General features: G+C 34.6%; 1 protein-coding gene across 7 annotated transcripts in view; it reads right to left on the bottom strand.

The window, feature by feature from the left end:
* Positions 1-17,232, bottom strand: part of SLIT2 (slit guidance ligand 2) — a 368,657-nt gene that overhangs the window by 338,821 nt on the left and 12,604 nt on the right. For all 7 annotated transcript variants that reach the window (XM_005248211.3, XM_006713986.3, NM_001289135.3 and 4 more), the window contains exon 4: positions 12,860-12,931. In XM_005248211.3, the coding sequence (XP_005248268.1) occupies positions 12,860-12,931 (72 nt within the window). The remainder of the gene's footprint in view (positions 1-12,859; positions 12,932-17,232) is intronic.

Raw genomic sequence — 17,232 nt, 5'->3', positions numbered from 1 at the left:
AGAAAGAGTATTTCCTTTTATCAAATGTAACTATGCTGCTTTCTCATTCCCTCACGTTCCTGTGTAATAAAAGAAGAATCCAGGGTGGTCACTTGGAGTACCTGATTAACAACTTTCCTTGAAACTATTCATTAGGTGTGGAATTCATTCCCCTTCAACAGAGGGAAAGAAAACCCACACCAAGTCAGAGAGAAGCTCTCCTCTTAGAAACAGACTCCAGATTCCTTTGCCTTCAGGGTATTCAGGTTCCACACATTCTGTTCTCCTCAAAAAGTCAGGAAAATGAATTGTCCCGGGTGCACAATGCATTTCCTAGGGAGAATTACAGAAAATGATGGTCCCTGCTTCCAACCTATTACAAAAAAAATTATAACGCAAATATGAACATATAAACCTTTATTAACCAAATCCATTATATTATCTTGATTTGCCCTGTTTAATTTTTAACTTATTTCTTCATGCTACCACTAGCGATGTTTGAGAGACAGGTGATTATTAAAACTACCTCAGTTGTACACCACTTACCTCATATTGAGAGATTATCAAGTATCAAGATCACCACTTAATAAGGCATAAGCATCAAATCTCCTTTAATCATTTTTTTAACCAGCTGGGTGCAGTGGCTCACGCCTGTAATCCCAGCACTTTGGGAGGCCGAGGCGGGCGGATCACCTGAGGTGTGAAGTTTGACGCCAGCCTGACCAACATGGAGAAACCCCATCTCTACTAAAAACACAAAAATCAGCCGGGCGTGGTGGCGCATGCCTGTAATCCCAACTACTCAGGAAGTTTAGGTAGGAGAATCGCTTGAACCCAGGAGGCGGAGGTTGCAGTGAGCTGAGATCACGCCATTGCACTCCAACCTGGGCAACAAGAGAAAAACTCCGTCTCAAAAAAAAAAAAAAAACATTTTTTTAATATAAGCCTTCAAACAATTCACATTTAATAGCAAAGCCATTCAAAATGTAAGCTAATAATAGAGAGAATAATCTCAAATCACTTATCCACAACCTAATTATCTAATTCCTGATTTATTACCATGAATAACTCCACCACTGTAATTATTCCAGGGCCTGTGTAGAGTTCCCTGTAAATTTTTGAAAAACAGAGAGAACACATCTTAGATGTATTTTGATCTCCTTCCTTTCCCTCAATTATCTTCACACATTCCCTAGAGGCTTGGAGGCCTTCTGCTAAATTCTGGTAATAGGATGGTGAACACATTGGGCAAGGTCCCTCTCTTATCTGACTTACTACATACTCATATATAAACACAGAAACTGATCCTCAAAAAAAAGCCAGTATCTTTGCTCAGCAACTGCAGCTAGTGATCAGCAGAGCTAGGAATGTAACTAGTGAAAGCTTTTTGGTTTTTTTTTGTTGTTGTTCTTTTTTTTTTTTTTTTTTTGAGACAGAGTCTCGCTCTGTCACCCAGGCTGGAGTGCAGTGATGCGGTCTCGGCTCACTGCAACCTCCGCCTCCCAGGTTCACGCCATTCTCCTGCCTCAGCCTCCCAAGTAGCTGGGACTACAGGCGCCCGCCACCACGCCCAGCTAATTTTTTGTATTTTTAGTAGAGACAGGGTTTCACTGTGTTAGCCAGGATGGTCTGGATCTCCTGACCTCGTGATCCGCCCACCTCCGCCTCCCAAAGTGCTGGGATTACAGGCATGAGCCACCATGCCCAGCTGTAAAAGCCTTTTGGCTTCTGATCCAGTGCTTTTTTCACACCTCAACATATATCATCCCAAATTCAATCTATTGGTAGTGTCTTTCTCAGGCTTAATTTCCAACTATTTCATCAAAAAGATATTTATTAGCCGACCTGTACTAGGCTGGATGCTACATATGAAACAAGGACAAATATAAGACAGGAATCTTGGCAAAGTTAATACACAGGTTACGATTAAAGAATTATATGTGACAACCCATTATATGGGACAGGAAACAGTGATACAGTTTTAATGATAAAAGGAAGCAAAAAAAGTAAGTACATGCCACTTATTATATGCCAAGTACCATAGTAAGCTCAGTTCATTTAGGAAATAATTTACTCCACACATCACTTCCATAAGAAACATACTCCTAGTATCCTCATTTTACACAAGGAAAAACTGAGGCGCTTGGCAGGTAATTGAGTGATATTCCCAAGATGACACATTCAGTGACTCAAACCCAGGTGGTCTGAATCAACCATCTGTACCACATTATAATGTACCATAGAATCAATAGTCTGTACCATATTATAATGAATGATCATGTGGAGGTAACTAAAACCATTGAGAAAGCTTTAGTAGAGGAGCTGAGGCCCATATGAGGAGGAAGGAGGAAAGAAAGAAGTCCAGAAATAATGCTGGGAATTTCCAGGCAGCAATGGGAAAATCTGCTTGCTTGAGATACGGTAGATCTGCTATGATAGCATGATAACGTTGAAGAGGTAATGCAGAACTACATTATGGTGGGTCATCAAAGCCAAGTGAAAGAGTGTGATATAAATGGGAGGTTAATTTTAACTAATCACTGCCAAGTACAATACAGAGTATTTCTCGATATTTTATTTCCCAACCTCAATACATGAAATGACTTAGAGTAACTGTCAAATATATTTGTTAGCACAGATTGTATTTAGAAGTTATTCCTATTTTTTTTAAGAGGCAAGCCTGGAGAGTTTATCTAAAATAAATACTGAAATATTTCTTTTTAGTTTCTGAGCAGAGATTTCAAAAAAGGAATGTATGAAATTTTAACACTGACTTTCTCCGTATAAAAGCACAGCATTGACTTCCTTAGTATAAAAGAAATACATGTATCTATGTTAAATGGAATTTCCTATAATTTCCCTAAATACTTATTCTTCTTCTGTACGTTTCTTAAGCACTCAGTATGCCCACCTCTCGCTTCCCCCTCCACACGCCCTCCCCCCACCGCCCCCCACCACTGGCATCACCCAATTGGCTTGGAATATCAGTTGGTATGACAAACTATACCATTTAGAATACCCTGGCTATTATATTAAATAACCAGGTTTTGTTACTCCTCTCTTTCTCTTGTCTTTCACTCTTTTATACTTCTGGACAATGTTTTGTGTTTTTTTTGTTTTTGTTTTTGTTTGTTTTGTCTTGCAACTAACTCAACCAGAAGGTTGGTCCTTACGTAAAGAAGATAAAATGTTTAAAGCGATATTCCTATTTCTGGGTTTTTGTGACAAGAGGCTGGGTAGAAAAGTCGCTTTGGGAAGAAAAAGATCAAAGTGTGTTAAAAAAAATGAGGAAAGTTTGCAGAAAGGTTGAAACTTGATAGAAGTAAGTAGAGCATATAACATCATAAAAAGTGCCTACATAATTGCTCAGTAGTGTTTTGTAAGTGAGGGTATAATCCTTAGTTAAAAGCAGGGCTTTTTATTGAGAGATTTTAACAACATTCCATTTTCCATGCACTTCTTTATCATGAATAAGACAGAGAGTGGGTTTTATCCTGAGGCATTTGAATTTAAACAACAACAACAAAAAAAAAAACAGATAAGCATTTCTGTTTCAGTGTGAACATAAACAGTGTATTTAGAAAAAGACTACATCATAATGACATGTTCATTTCTGGAAAAATTAAGAAAGATTTTACTTTAACAGCATGTAAACTGGTAAATTTTTTTTAAGTTTCATATATTTGAACATAAAGCTTCATATTCAGATAAAATGGGAATAAAAAAGATGTAAACTTTAAAGATAGTTTTAGAGAGGTACCCTTAAAGTGTTACTAACTATGCAGCTACTCTTGACAGTACACATTACATCTTCCAAATGTTATCACTCTGCCTCAAGACCATTCCTTTTTGGTTAACTGTCTCATAAAAGAGCAAGAGTAAATAAAAGCATTTTATGACGTCTAATCTTTTAGTTATTTCTAATTAAGTGAATCTGAGTTTTCATATTAATGGCATTATTCTTCCCTATTGTGTTTGTGTGTGTATATATATATATATTAATTTGGATATAGCTACATCATGATGAAAATCTTTCATCATGATGTAGCTATATCCAAATTAATGATTAAAAATAATAGAATAATGACATAACTTACCAATAGAATATGCTTGCATATGAATACCTACATTGAGGCAGATTCTAAACAATGTAACTACAGTGGTAGTTTAACAGATGCAAAATGTTTAAGTCAGTGTTCTAAACATTTTAAACTTCTTAAGATAAACTAATCAGTAATTTCAAATGTTTTACCCTAGAAAATGTATAATGTAAATTCAATCATATTTATATACTGTTTACACAAAAGTAGTGTCCAATCAAAATGTATTTTAATATATTAGTCTAGAAACTTATGAGAAGAACACCAGATTTAAAATTTAATTTAAATTAATATTTTTTTAAAGGGTCAAGGTTAAACTGTTTGTCTTCCTTAAAAAGTTTATAATGTCTTTTGTGTCTTTACTTACAAAAAAATTCTCAATGAAACTTGGATATTAAAACCTCCCAGGAAACCAACAATAAAAGCTGCTAAGAATTTCACAAGTTTTTTTTCCCCTTAGGTGTTAATTAAATGATCATTTAACACTGAAATGTAAACACAACATTTTCATCTCCTGACAGCACAGCCTATTATAAATCCGGGGTAATAAAAGTCTTGGTGTTAATGCTCTGAACCAAGTTCCCACAACACTCTAAGATGCCTTGTCGTGTCTAAGGTTAAGCATCTAGACACAAAACAAAGCTTGCGCCTACTCGACTTCCAGTCCAATTTTCCCATCGCCCAGTGACCTAGGTAACACTTTGAGCAATAAAGAATAAATTTAATTTCTCCAGCATTTTGTGAGGATTAGGAACAATTGTTGGCTTGCAATGACTTTTTATCCTTGGATTCTTTTTCCTCCAGAGCATTCCTCAGGTCCCAAAAGAGAATTCTGATGGTTTAAGACATAGAACAAACAGAACTTTAAATTAGGCTTTTTTCAATCAATTGGAACTGTCGGAGGGGAAGCAATCAACCTTTCTCTGTGCTGTTCTCAGCTATTCACATACTTCGAGCTTTAATCTTTCACTAGCAGAAGAAACCTATCATGATGGGGCAAAGCTATTTTTTCCAATTCTGTTTCCAGATTTACTTATTTCTCTTTTAAGTTTTTGTTTGTTTGTTTGTTTTGTTTTTAACACTTAAATCAAGTTGCCATACTTTGCTATAAACTTTCATTTGGGGGATGTTTCAAGAGACACAGATGTTCTCTTAATAACATTTCACACCTCTATGCTGTACCCTAGGCCATAGGTGTTGTCAAGGACTGGTCTTTTTACTCTTCACTGCTTCCTTCTCTAAGATTTAGTTTCTTTTAAAACTTCCATCCAAAGGTTTCTTATATCAAAATTTATAAAATATTTTAAGGTTAACCCTCCAGAAAAAATTCAGTGATTATAATCAACTCAGTTATAGGTAACATGTAATGAGTGGATATACACCATATAGATCTATGCTACTTTGAGAAGTACTGGAATTGTGGAAAAAAGAACAAAACAAAACGACTTCTGGTTCAAACTTGTCTCATAATGTAACATTATTTAGATTTAAAGTGCTAAAAGATTTGCAATTTTTACTGGATTTTGACATAATTAGTAGTCTAAAAATACACTTAAAATCACCTATGCAATTTATATAAAGATGACAATGTTCCATAGATCAAATCATATGTACATATTACAAAGCTAACAGAGTAATCTTATATTATTTTAAAAAATAAAATTTTTATTAGTAGTGAAAGTGTTCCTTAGCAACATATGTAAATCTTCTGAACAACTTTCAGAATACTTTACCTATAGTTTAAGGAGTTTACTCAGCATTTTCTAACATTTGTATTTTTCCTTCATTTGTCATTCAGAAAAACACATCATTAAAACAGCAATCTAAATATATGCACTAACAAATAGTTCCTGAGTCACAGTCTTTTTGTTTCTATCTGTAATTTATTTTATAGATGAATTTTAAAACTATATGAATCATCAACTGGGAGAGCATGAAGAGATCTCATTAAGAATATCCTGGCCCTAATGTACCTTCTGCAGCCAAGTAAAGAGAAATAACATGGTACAAATGCACATTTTATGTCAATTTGCTGTGGTAAGATAATTAATGTGACTACACATATTTACGTGTTACTACAGTAAGGATAAATGCAAGAGGGCTGTGCAATAGTATCAGGAACTTTGCTGACTGAGGGCAAGTTGCAAGGACATCTGAGTGACTATCATTTCCATCTTGCTTGCAATGAAAGGATGACAATAATATAATTATAGTTTCTATCATACTTGAAAATTTACAATGTTCCTTTGAATATGGAATCTAAATTTTACTGTGCTATCCCCAGAAAGTAAATTGTATGATCCTTCCCATTTTACAGATAAGAAACCTCAACAATACGGTTGTCTACTGACTTCCAAAGTTAACAGAACTGCAAGTATCTGAGTAGGCATTTAAACACTATCATTTTACACAACCTCCCTTAAGATAGAAAGTAAATTGATTTCAGTGTCTTAAAACATAAAGCAAATACATTAAAATTACCTAAATATAACTAAAACCCTACCAACCCTTATTCCTAGAAATAATGTTTATGTAAATTTCAGTCCCCAAAATTGTAACCTTGAGATTGTAGTGGCAATTTCATTATTTAAAAACTTTAAAATATTACCTGATTATGTGTATACGATATATTTTTTACATGAATATGATAGACTGAAATTCACATATTTGATCACTCTCAATGAACTCTCTAGGCATTAATTCACGCAGTATAGGTCAGACGTTAGCAACAGCTGAGGCCCACAAATACCACATATTATATAGAGCCACATATTTTGTTAGTTTCCCTTCTGAGCATTGATCATAGTATTCTACAAATTCAAGTTGGCAGTCCATAAGTACTTGTTGGTGGAGTTAGAAACATTTGCACTTGTGAAAGCAGTCGTTTAAATAAGTACAGCTGAGTGAAAAAAAAAAAAACACAGAAACTTTCTTGCATTCTTGCATTTGATTTTCTTATGCTATGAGCTATGCTGTGGATTTCACACTCAGAAGGTCCACTCTGTGTGTTGGTAACAGCAGAAACCGGACAACTGTTAGCTTTCTTTAGCAACAAGTCTATTAGTAATTCCTTTGAAGTAAAAACCATCAACACTAGATCTGGCAAAATCTCAAATATGATCTTAATCTTCATTGGATTTAGGACGTTTAAATCACAGGATTACACGTTGATTTAAAAAATAAAAGTAGAAGTAGGTCCTGCTCAGGGCTTTGCACTTTTCTTTCTTTCATGACAAGTGGTAATGGCTATTTTGAGTTGTGTTCAGATGTCCATATATCAAGTCTGTTGCCTATCTATTTGAAAATAAAGTTTTGGTTAAATAGTGGTAATTTTTTTAAATGCAATACTCCTTGTATGCCTCTATTTTTTAAGTGGCAAAAACATAGTCCCTTGGGCCCAATAAGTAATTAAAAAGTTACCTTAGTAATGAAGGACTTGGTGTTTTAATCACTGAAAGTGAACACTTTTCTAAGTTTTCTCTCTCGATACAGAGTCAATCTGTTCCCCTTAGCAAAGTATCAGTATATAATTCAGATAGTGTTTCCTTACACCAAATTAGAACACAGACGCCACCTTCGACGGAACTTTCACCCTTAGCACATGAAGCTCTTTGGCAGTCTCAGCAACAGAAATCAGCGGTAGCTATCATGGCAGCGCGCTAGATGAGTAATGATGTCGGTCTGGCTGAACAACAGTAACCGTAGCAACTGTAACCTGCAATTCCTGCACAATCACAGTCGGATTTATTGTGGCAGGGGCCAAACAGGCCAAGAGTAAAATGAAGCAGGAAACGATGGCACCTGACATCTCTAGTAGTCCACACTTTAATCAGAGCTGGCAGAAATTAATTCAAGAGAAATTTGTACATGGGCTCCTCTGTTGTATCCTGCTTTCATGGTTGACTCCAAGAAACCTATGAGACTAAACTGACATCCAAGAACTAGGGAGTTCGTTTTATAAAACATTTTATTAAATTAAGGTATATTTTGCTTAGGTGAAAAATGGATCATTTTGATTGTGTTATGTCTACTGAAACACTTCAATGTTTGAGAAACCTAGGGGAATCAAACATTTAATTGACCAAGTTATCCTTTAAATTTAATTTGGTTCTCCATTATTTATAATGCCGTCCCAGAGTTACTATTTGCTCATTCAAGTTACAAACCCTGAACCCAACAGAGATTTAATTCAATACATCAAACACTTGATGAGAGCTTCTAAAGGTCAAGCCTTATACTAGACCCTGGGGACATTAAAAAAAAGTTTTCATAATACACGTCTAAGTAGCACTTATATGTATAATCATAAAAATAATTCTAAGATAATAATTGATAAGTATAATAATGGCTATATCTGCGTAGTGAGATAATAGATAATTTTTACTTCCTATTTTCTATTTTTTTCTGAATTTCCTAGATCTTTTTTACAATGAGCATGTGTTACTCTTATAACTATTAAAAAAAAATAAGTCTCCTTCTATGGCAGTGATGGAAAGGAAAATAAAGACAGCTTAATTATATATATTTGTTATGCTGAACAAATTAATTGATTACCTTAATAAAAAAAATTAAGTTTTCCTCTTAAGAAAGTCCCAATTATTATAGTTATCAAAAGCAATTTTGAGAATCTGAAATCCTATCTGAGAGATAATGAATTATGACCTGGCCAATGAAATTAAGCAGTCAAAACCTATTTGTCTCAGGTAAGTATTCACTAGGCCATAAAGAGAGTCTTTGGCCTTAAAAATACCATTCCTAATGTTAGATAATTTAGTCGCTCCAAAACTCACTGGGGAATCATGAATGGCACTTGAGAACCAGAAGTAAAAAGTTTTCATTCAAAGAAGTAGAGAAAATGAGTCCCTGGGACAGATGCAGTTCTTTTTGTTTGTTTGTTTAGTTTTGGTTTGGTTTGGCAGATAAAAGTGAAAAATGAGTTTCTAAAAAGTGCTTTGGATACTTAAGCTTACGTTAGAAGTCTCAGTAAATATAATATACTCAAAGAAATAAACCGAAAACCACAAAACAAATATTTATAACCAAATGCCTAACCGCAGTACTACCAATGAAATTCCTCTTTAATGAGTCCAGATTAGTAGTCGCAAACTCATCAAAAAGTGTGAATCACTTACTCTTAAGCCTCTTTTAAGGTTACACTTATCAGGAAGATTTGTATTAGTACTCATAAATTTCAATCAATCATAATCAACTGTTTCAAAATTCCCTGCAATCTCTTCTTCAGTTAACCAGCTCCAGATTTCTTTAAAAATAATTTCCTCTACTCTTAGGTTCATAATAAAAATGCAACCTTGATTTTGGAGGAGGAGCAAAGGGGAAGATAGAGTCTATAAGTTAAGAAAACTTCATGCTGGCTTATTTTTTTTTTTTTTAACCTCCAACCTATCGTCCCTTATTTTAGTTTCCCTGGACTTGCACTTTCCATCTGTCAACAAGTGCTTGTAATTTTATTACACTGTCCTGTAGTTTATGCAGAGTTGGTATTATTTTACAGAGTTCTGTTAATGGACTGGATAAATGGTAATGCTATTTAAACTAGTCTCCTACTCCAACAAACACAGCTGCAACTGTACTACTATTTCTGAGCAAACATCTTGACCTGAACATGTAGTGCTCTCTCAACCCGTCCAAAGAGAAATTGGAGCAGACAGCAAAGGAAAAGCATATTTGGCCGCTAGCAGCAACCAAGTGTGTCGAATCATAATTCATATACAGTATACCCTCCTTTTCTTTTATATTGCATTTAGAGTCCATGAAAAGCATGTGTGCTTCTTCCCCTGGCATCTTATTTTCAACCACTAGTCAAAGGGCGATTATTTATTCCAAAGCTCAAAGAAAAGCAACACAATGTCCAGTATATCCAACTAGCTTTAATCTAAGCAAACAATGCGAAAAATCAAACTTCAGTGTATAAACTATGTATTAAACCAGTAAACTTTTTTATTAGTGATATACCTGGGAAAACATAGTGTTAAGTATGAATAAAGTATACAATAACTAAGAAAAGAAATTGAAACATTAATTCGTATCTCGGAACAACCTATACAGAGGAAGTAAATCCTAAATTTGTTTTTTTATGAGTTCTGCATATAGTATGCCTCTACTGCATTAGACAGTAGGGGCAACTATGGCTTGCTATATATATATATATAATATATAAATATAAATTATATATAAATATTATATATAAATTAATTATATATTATATTACATATAAATATATACTATGTATAATAATTATATATTATATAAATGTCAAAACATATATTCTATAAATATATATTTATAGAATACTTATATATTGTTTTACACATATTTATAAAACGATCATATATATATCAACTATCAAATACTTTCCTTGTCCTATCATTTTTCCCCATTATTTGTCAAAAATTCCATATCCTTTGTTCTGTCACTTGTTCTTCTTGTGAAAAAAATATGTTTTTAAATGAGCATTATAAAGGATGTTGTGCATATAGGTTTGTGCACATTTTCCCATCTGCTAGAATATTTGTTTCAGGTGAGCTACTTGGCATCTGTATCATGTGAGAAAATGTGAACTTGTACCCTTGCTTTTCATAATTACACTAGCCAGTAGTGAGCTTCACAAGCACGTGTTCCTTTGTTTATTAAAGACTTCCAATGGCAGTTGTTTAATTTAATTAATTATCACCATCATAAACAAGTGGTCACATGCAGCTTATAACTTATTCTCTCGAGAGAAAAAGCACTCAACAATTCACCTAAGTCTAATTCAGATGAAGCAACAGTTCCTTAACTCAAATTAAGATTCCTGACGTGAGGATGCAAATAAAAATTCCACCTCTAGTTTTCTATGTACATCCAGTGCCTAAATCTGATGTCAAATCTCATGTAAAGGGATACACTTTGTCAATATTGAGTGCTAGGCCATCAAGTTATATAACTCCTGAAACATAAAAATATTCACATCCCTCTTGTAACTAGCTCCACCTAACAAACACTGCTTTAGCTGTTATTACTCCCCAGGACAAATCCTTTGAGCCAGAAAGACACATAAAAAAATCTGAACACATTTTCTAGCTGCCTGTTTCCCCATTTTCCAACACGCATTTAATTAATTAGGAAATGCTGTCATAGGTTTTATGGATTCTGTTTCTTTAATTCACTTAAAGATTTCAAGTCTTTTTTCATACAGCAGCTGCATACAGTTATAAAATCATAACAAAACATAAAAGAAAATCTCTTGGTCTGCTATGAGATATTGTCAAAGATGGCAAAATGTCAAGGAGAATATAATTTGCTGATGAGGGATTCTGCAATGGATTATACCACCTTAAACTGGGGGAAATTAATCCAAGTCGATTCCTTAAAAATCTCCTCAGTCACCAATAACTAAAGGTGAAAGTGAAATACTATCAAAACCAATTCTATGGCCCTTTTTAGAAACTAAGCACAAATATTTAGATATAATTATCTACTGATATGCATACCTATAATCTTTATAGCAAACCTACACCCTATTTCCTAAGTAAAAATAGTTATTAGATAATTTTTGTTAAAAATGCAATTCCAAGGTTTCTTCATTTTATTTTTAAAATTTACTTAAATTGGTCCAATTGAGCAGCAGGGAACACAAAAAAGAAGAGAAAAATGTCAGGTGATTTTAGCTATCCTTAGAGGAACAAAGTCAGGAAAGACTCTGGAGAGATCTGGTATGTCAGCTGGGGAATATCTCCCTATAGTAAGTTAAGGTTGTTAAGGTTTCAGGAGGATGTAACAAAGATCCTGGCTATTCTTGGGGGTGAAGGGTGTGAGAGGACAGTCCTCCTACTTCTGGAATTGATAACCACATTGAACTAGTAGGCTACAAAGACAAGTTCAGAAAAAGGAACTATGCTCACTTTCTCTACAAACAGTACCATATGGGACACCCACCATCCAGGTGGGGGCTAATGGAGCAATTTACTCTATACATTCCAGCAGTTTTTTTCACAACATGCATATACCTCAATAATCATTGCTATTTATTTTTCCAAAACTTTGTAGCTTATCTCCCATCTGCACAAAGTCATTTCATATGGCTGAAAATCTCATTTTAAATGCTTTCAAAATGTGTTTTCACTATTACACATTAGGTCAGTGCAAAAGCATTCCAGGGAGGAAAAAGTGATTCCCCCTAATACTCACATTATGCTCCTTTAAGGAATTACTTCCTTTAATAGTCTATGACGTATTTGATATGAAAACCTTGCCATACAGTCATTCATATTGCAGAGGCTGAAATTGTGGCTTTAAAGGAAACATTTAAGAGGAAATTTACAGCCCTCTTTAAATACCTTATAATAATATTTCGGACTAATAAACACGACTACTTGAGCCCAGAAACAATACCAAAAAAGCTGACATTAAAAATCTCAACTTTATAAGAACACACTGCCAACTTCCTCTTAAGAGGAAACAGTAGCAATTTTCTCCCTTCAGAACTTAATCAAACATTTCCATTAAAAGGTAGGTAAATCTCGCCATCATCACGTTACCAAAAAAATAATAATAATCCAATTTCCATAACACATACATAAACCGCTAAATCCTAACCAAATAAAACAACTGGAACCACTAGAAAACAAATCATAAATTTCCTAAAGAAAAAACACAAACTTTTAATCCATTAATCTATTGATGAACAGATTCCAGGAAAGCACACACAAACAGATCCAAAATACATTTAATAAAACACAAGGTACTACCCAAAGCAACAATAACTATTTGTGTCTACTTACAGCCTGTATAGCTTCGCAGTCCCAAGAAACAGCAACTCAGGAAACAGCTGAAGGTGATTTCTGTTTAAACGCCTTTTGAGAAAACAAAAACAAAGCTTATGTTACATAGAAAATACCCAACAATGAGACTGTGATTTGGTAGTGTCATGCCTCATCCTGTATTTCAGAAAAGAATGAAATGACATTCAGGAGAATTCAAGCATTGCAAATCAAAAGTTGGTTACACCTTTTGTTACATGACTCTTTACAGCAGTTTTCCATTGTGCTTACTAAGATGATGATTACTGGGGTCTAAACTTTAAACTGAAATCCTGTGCAACATCAGTCAACCAGAATACACACAATGATAAAGGATTTTTGTGATTCAGTCTTAGGCGCCTAAGGTAGGTGACTTCAATATCCAGCAGAAATACCACAGTGAATGGTGTCTAAAATAATCCATACACAGTCCCAATTGGCCTAAAAGTTCAGCCAAGGAATTGTGGGGAGATGGAAATTTCAACTTTCTTAGCTTTTCATTTAGTTGGGAGGAAAAAAAAAAAAGGTGTGAGAAATTGTCAGCATGATTTGTCCCATAGGCAAAATCAGGAGAATACCAACCCAGAGTTCAAACCTCAACCCACAGCTTCCAACCCTTAACTGAATTTAAGGCTCAGCATTATAACTAACAGTTGTGTCAAATCAGTTTCAGTAATGTTTTAAAATGTCTAAGTAAATTGGAATGTTTTAAATGTTTTAGAAAAGAGTGTGATTGCAACTGTAACTCAATTTAAGCCCTGATGCTTGGTATGCACACCTATTAAAGAAAGAGTGGGTAAATACTATCTGTGATGTAGTCATATCCCAATCCCATCTGTTTTCAGTGTACAATTTAACATTTAATTTAAAATAACTGTCTATTTCTCTGCTTTTCCCAAATCTAAATAAAACGATAAAGAGCTGATGTAACATTTTGCACTCAAATGACTTACAAGCTGCCTAGCTCGAGAGGAGTAGAGGCATATTATATAGTATAGTTTCTGGATATAGTTCCAGAAGGTAATGTCACACTGAGGAAACCAGAGGTATTTCTTAAGTTTTAAAGATAAATAGTAAAAGGGACAGGAAAAGAGGGCATATCAATCTTGACATATTGCAAGGGTCATCGGGTAGATGCAGAATTATACTTATTTAGTCTCCAGAGGGCAGAAATGGGCCCCTTGATTGTAACTCCTAAGAAATTTGATTATACAGAAGACCTTTCTAAGAATTAGCTATTAAGAAATGGAAACTCTCAACTGCTTATCTCAAAATGTATTCAAGCAGAGGCTATGAATTTTTTTTGGAAAATGATATAATTTTTTAAAATCCTGTAAGTGAGAAGCGAGACCAGGTAAACTTCAGAACTTCTTTCCATTCTAAAAAATGCCATGAAGCAATGATGGCACCATAACTTTATGTGAACTCAGAAAGAAGTTGATCATCTACAGAAACATTCTCAGGCCTTAATAAAATGCATACTAATAAAAAAAAGTATGCCAAGACAAGTAGAGGCAAATAGTAAAATTAGTGGTAAAGGAGTGAATTTACTTCCCACTTACACGCTAATTTTTTAAATGAAGCACATAACAAGGTAAAATTTAAAGTCAAATCAAAAGCTTTCATTTATTTGTTCTCTGTTAGGTATGATTCTGAAGACAGTGTACTTCCAGAGTCTAGCATTATACAATTTCAATGAAATGCAGATTGTTACTTTGTTGTATTTCCCTCTAAAAATATATTACACATATTTGCAACAGTGGTAATGAGATTTTTTTCTAGGAATGCAACCACTCTTGGAAGGACCTCCATTGTCCAAAGAGCCAATTCCAATTTCTAAAACATCAGAAATGAGCTCTCATGATGTAATCCAAACCACGAGATTTACCAGCCTCATTTGTTATTCTCTAGCCAGAGCAAGCATTCTCGGCAAGCCCCTGGGCCCTGCAGAGGCAGTTCTCTTTATGAAGTGCTTCTCCTTTTCTCCAAATGGTGCTTTCTTACATCCTCTGTGAACCTTCCCCTGATTCTCCTACAAAAAGTTAGTGCTTCTCTTGGCTGTGTCCCCACAGCATTTGATAAGCAAGAGTCCCTTACACTGTGTAATATTTATTCATGTACTGGTCTCTTTCCCACTAGACTGTGAGCTCTTCAAGCATAAAGACTAAATCTTTGTATTCCCTCCCTTCTTCCCTGGCACTTAGTAAGTTCTGAACCATATGAAAAGCCAAAGAGAGCAGCCTGCTCTCAGTCAACATTCCCTAATCTCTGGCCCTTAGTAGGTTCTTAGGAAATGCTGAATGAGAACAGATTGTTCTCTTAGTATTTTGATATATTTCAGCAAGGCCCTAGCATTTACATTTTATATTAAGCCAACATTCCTCTGGCATCCTCCCTGAGGCACCTGCCTTGGGTTTGATGCCATTCTCTGGCTGTCAAACCTGCTTTCACATGCCCCAGACAATAGTTTCCTCCTTTCCATTCCATCAACATCCTTGATGATGTGATTCTCGGCATCACCTAGAAGCTGGAAAGAATTCAATGTGTTTAAACAAATTCAGAGATATAAGTGAGTAACAGCTGCTACCAGCTTTCTTGTTAACGAGTCTACATCAGTATAGTTTCATATATTGTGAGAAAGCAGATTTTTCAGACTGGATACAAGAAGTGGTTTTTTTTTTTCTTAATTATTATCCCTTTCTTATTCCCAGTGGTTCCTAATTCACTGTGTAACTAATAGCTAACATGTGTTCTAATTCACTGTGTAAGTAATAAGCTTACTAGGTGATGGTCACTATTGAGAGGTTTATACAAGTTATCTCATTCACTCCTCACCACATCCCCATGAGTAAGTACAATTCTCACTGCTGTTCTGGAGAGAAGTGCAGAGTTCAAAGACATAAAGCTAGGGCCTGAATAAAGGTGGTATGACACTAAAACATACCCTCTGAATCACTCCTCTGGAAAAAATATAGTCTAAACATTCCTAAACAATAATTCAGAATAATATAATGCGGAAGCTTTCCTTTTCACCTGTATTCCCTGAGGCAAAACATAGATTTATTTGATCCATTTCTTAAATATCTATGAACTAAGCAATTGTAAATACAACAAAGTTTTATTTTTTAAAAAAGCTAGCTCTACGTTCAGCTCATGGTTTTAAACACCTGTTGAAAACTAGGTATTTTAAATTTCAGAAAAAAAAAACTGAAAATATATACGAAGAATTCTTCTCTGAATTGCAGTACTTTATAATTATTTCATGAAAGTTATTATGAGTGATCTTTATATGTCTAAACCCACCAGATACGTTTCTGTTTTTAGGATAAGACAAGGTGGTATTGCACAAAAAGGACAGATAACGTAAGTAATGTGGTAATATGGATACAACAAAACAGTATACGTTTCCCTTTTATTGTCTTTAAAGCAGTATCAATACACATTTGGCTCCACTTTTTCTATTCTCTCTTCCATCCATACTAAGGTTAAATGGTTATACAAACATTAACAGAAAAAGCAAAACTTTCAAAATATTAAAGAAAAATTTTAAAGGATAGCCGCCTGTGCAATCACCAGAAATTAAATCCTTAAAATAAAGAGCATTTATTTAAAATTTAAACTTATTTTAAAGACTATTAAGGTATATAACAATTACTAAACAGAGCTAGAGAAAAAGTAGCCTAGCTTCTAATTGTGACAGAAATTTGCTTAACAGCTTGAAGATGATCGTGTCAGAATAAGATCTCTAACGTAAATGAGTTGAAGTTAAATCTGATGGTTCCAGAACAGGAAACAGCATGTAGTGAATTAAAGATATCACAGAGGATTATTTATGGGAGCCAACATAAATTAGCTTTGTTAAACAGACCAGGTGAGTCAATTATCATTGTTGAGAGCACAGACACTCAATGGTATCAAAGGAATGACAGAGATATAGTGATATATAAGTCATGTGTCATCACCCCTCAATGGAATCTGCCCACAACATCCCAGAAATGCTTGATAATTCTCTAGATGGCAATTCACAGTTTCAGAAAGGTGTGTAATGTATGTCTCTGAGATACTTTCTCCCAGGGCAAAGATGAGAAAGGATTCCAGTAACTGTTTGCTCTGTGCTACCAGCTATTTTTGAGTTTGACTTTCAGAAGAGAGAATGATCTTTCTGCATTGCACAAAACACCACTGGCCTCTGAAACACTGATTCTTAACAACCTCAATTTGAAGGGCAGCCTGAACGTATTGACAAACATTGTTTTGAATTATTATCTGCCAGCTGTGTCTATGACTCTTGTCCTTTAGCAGAGGTCATAGTCTCTTACTTTTTGCGACTTTCACCTCAATTCAATTAATGTTCA

The sequence above is a fragment of the Homo sapiens genome, chromosome 4, assembly GCF_000001405.40.
Source record: "Homo sapiens chromosome 4, GRCh38.p14 Primary Assembly".
Lineage (NCBI taxonomy): Eukaryota > Metazoa > Chordata > Mammalia > Primates > Hominidae > Homo > Homo sapiens.
The sequence above is the reverse complement of the archived record's forward strand: the minus strand, read 5'-3'. Positions and strand labels throughout refer to the sequence as shown.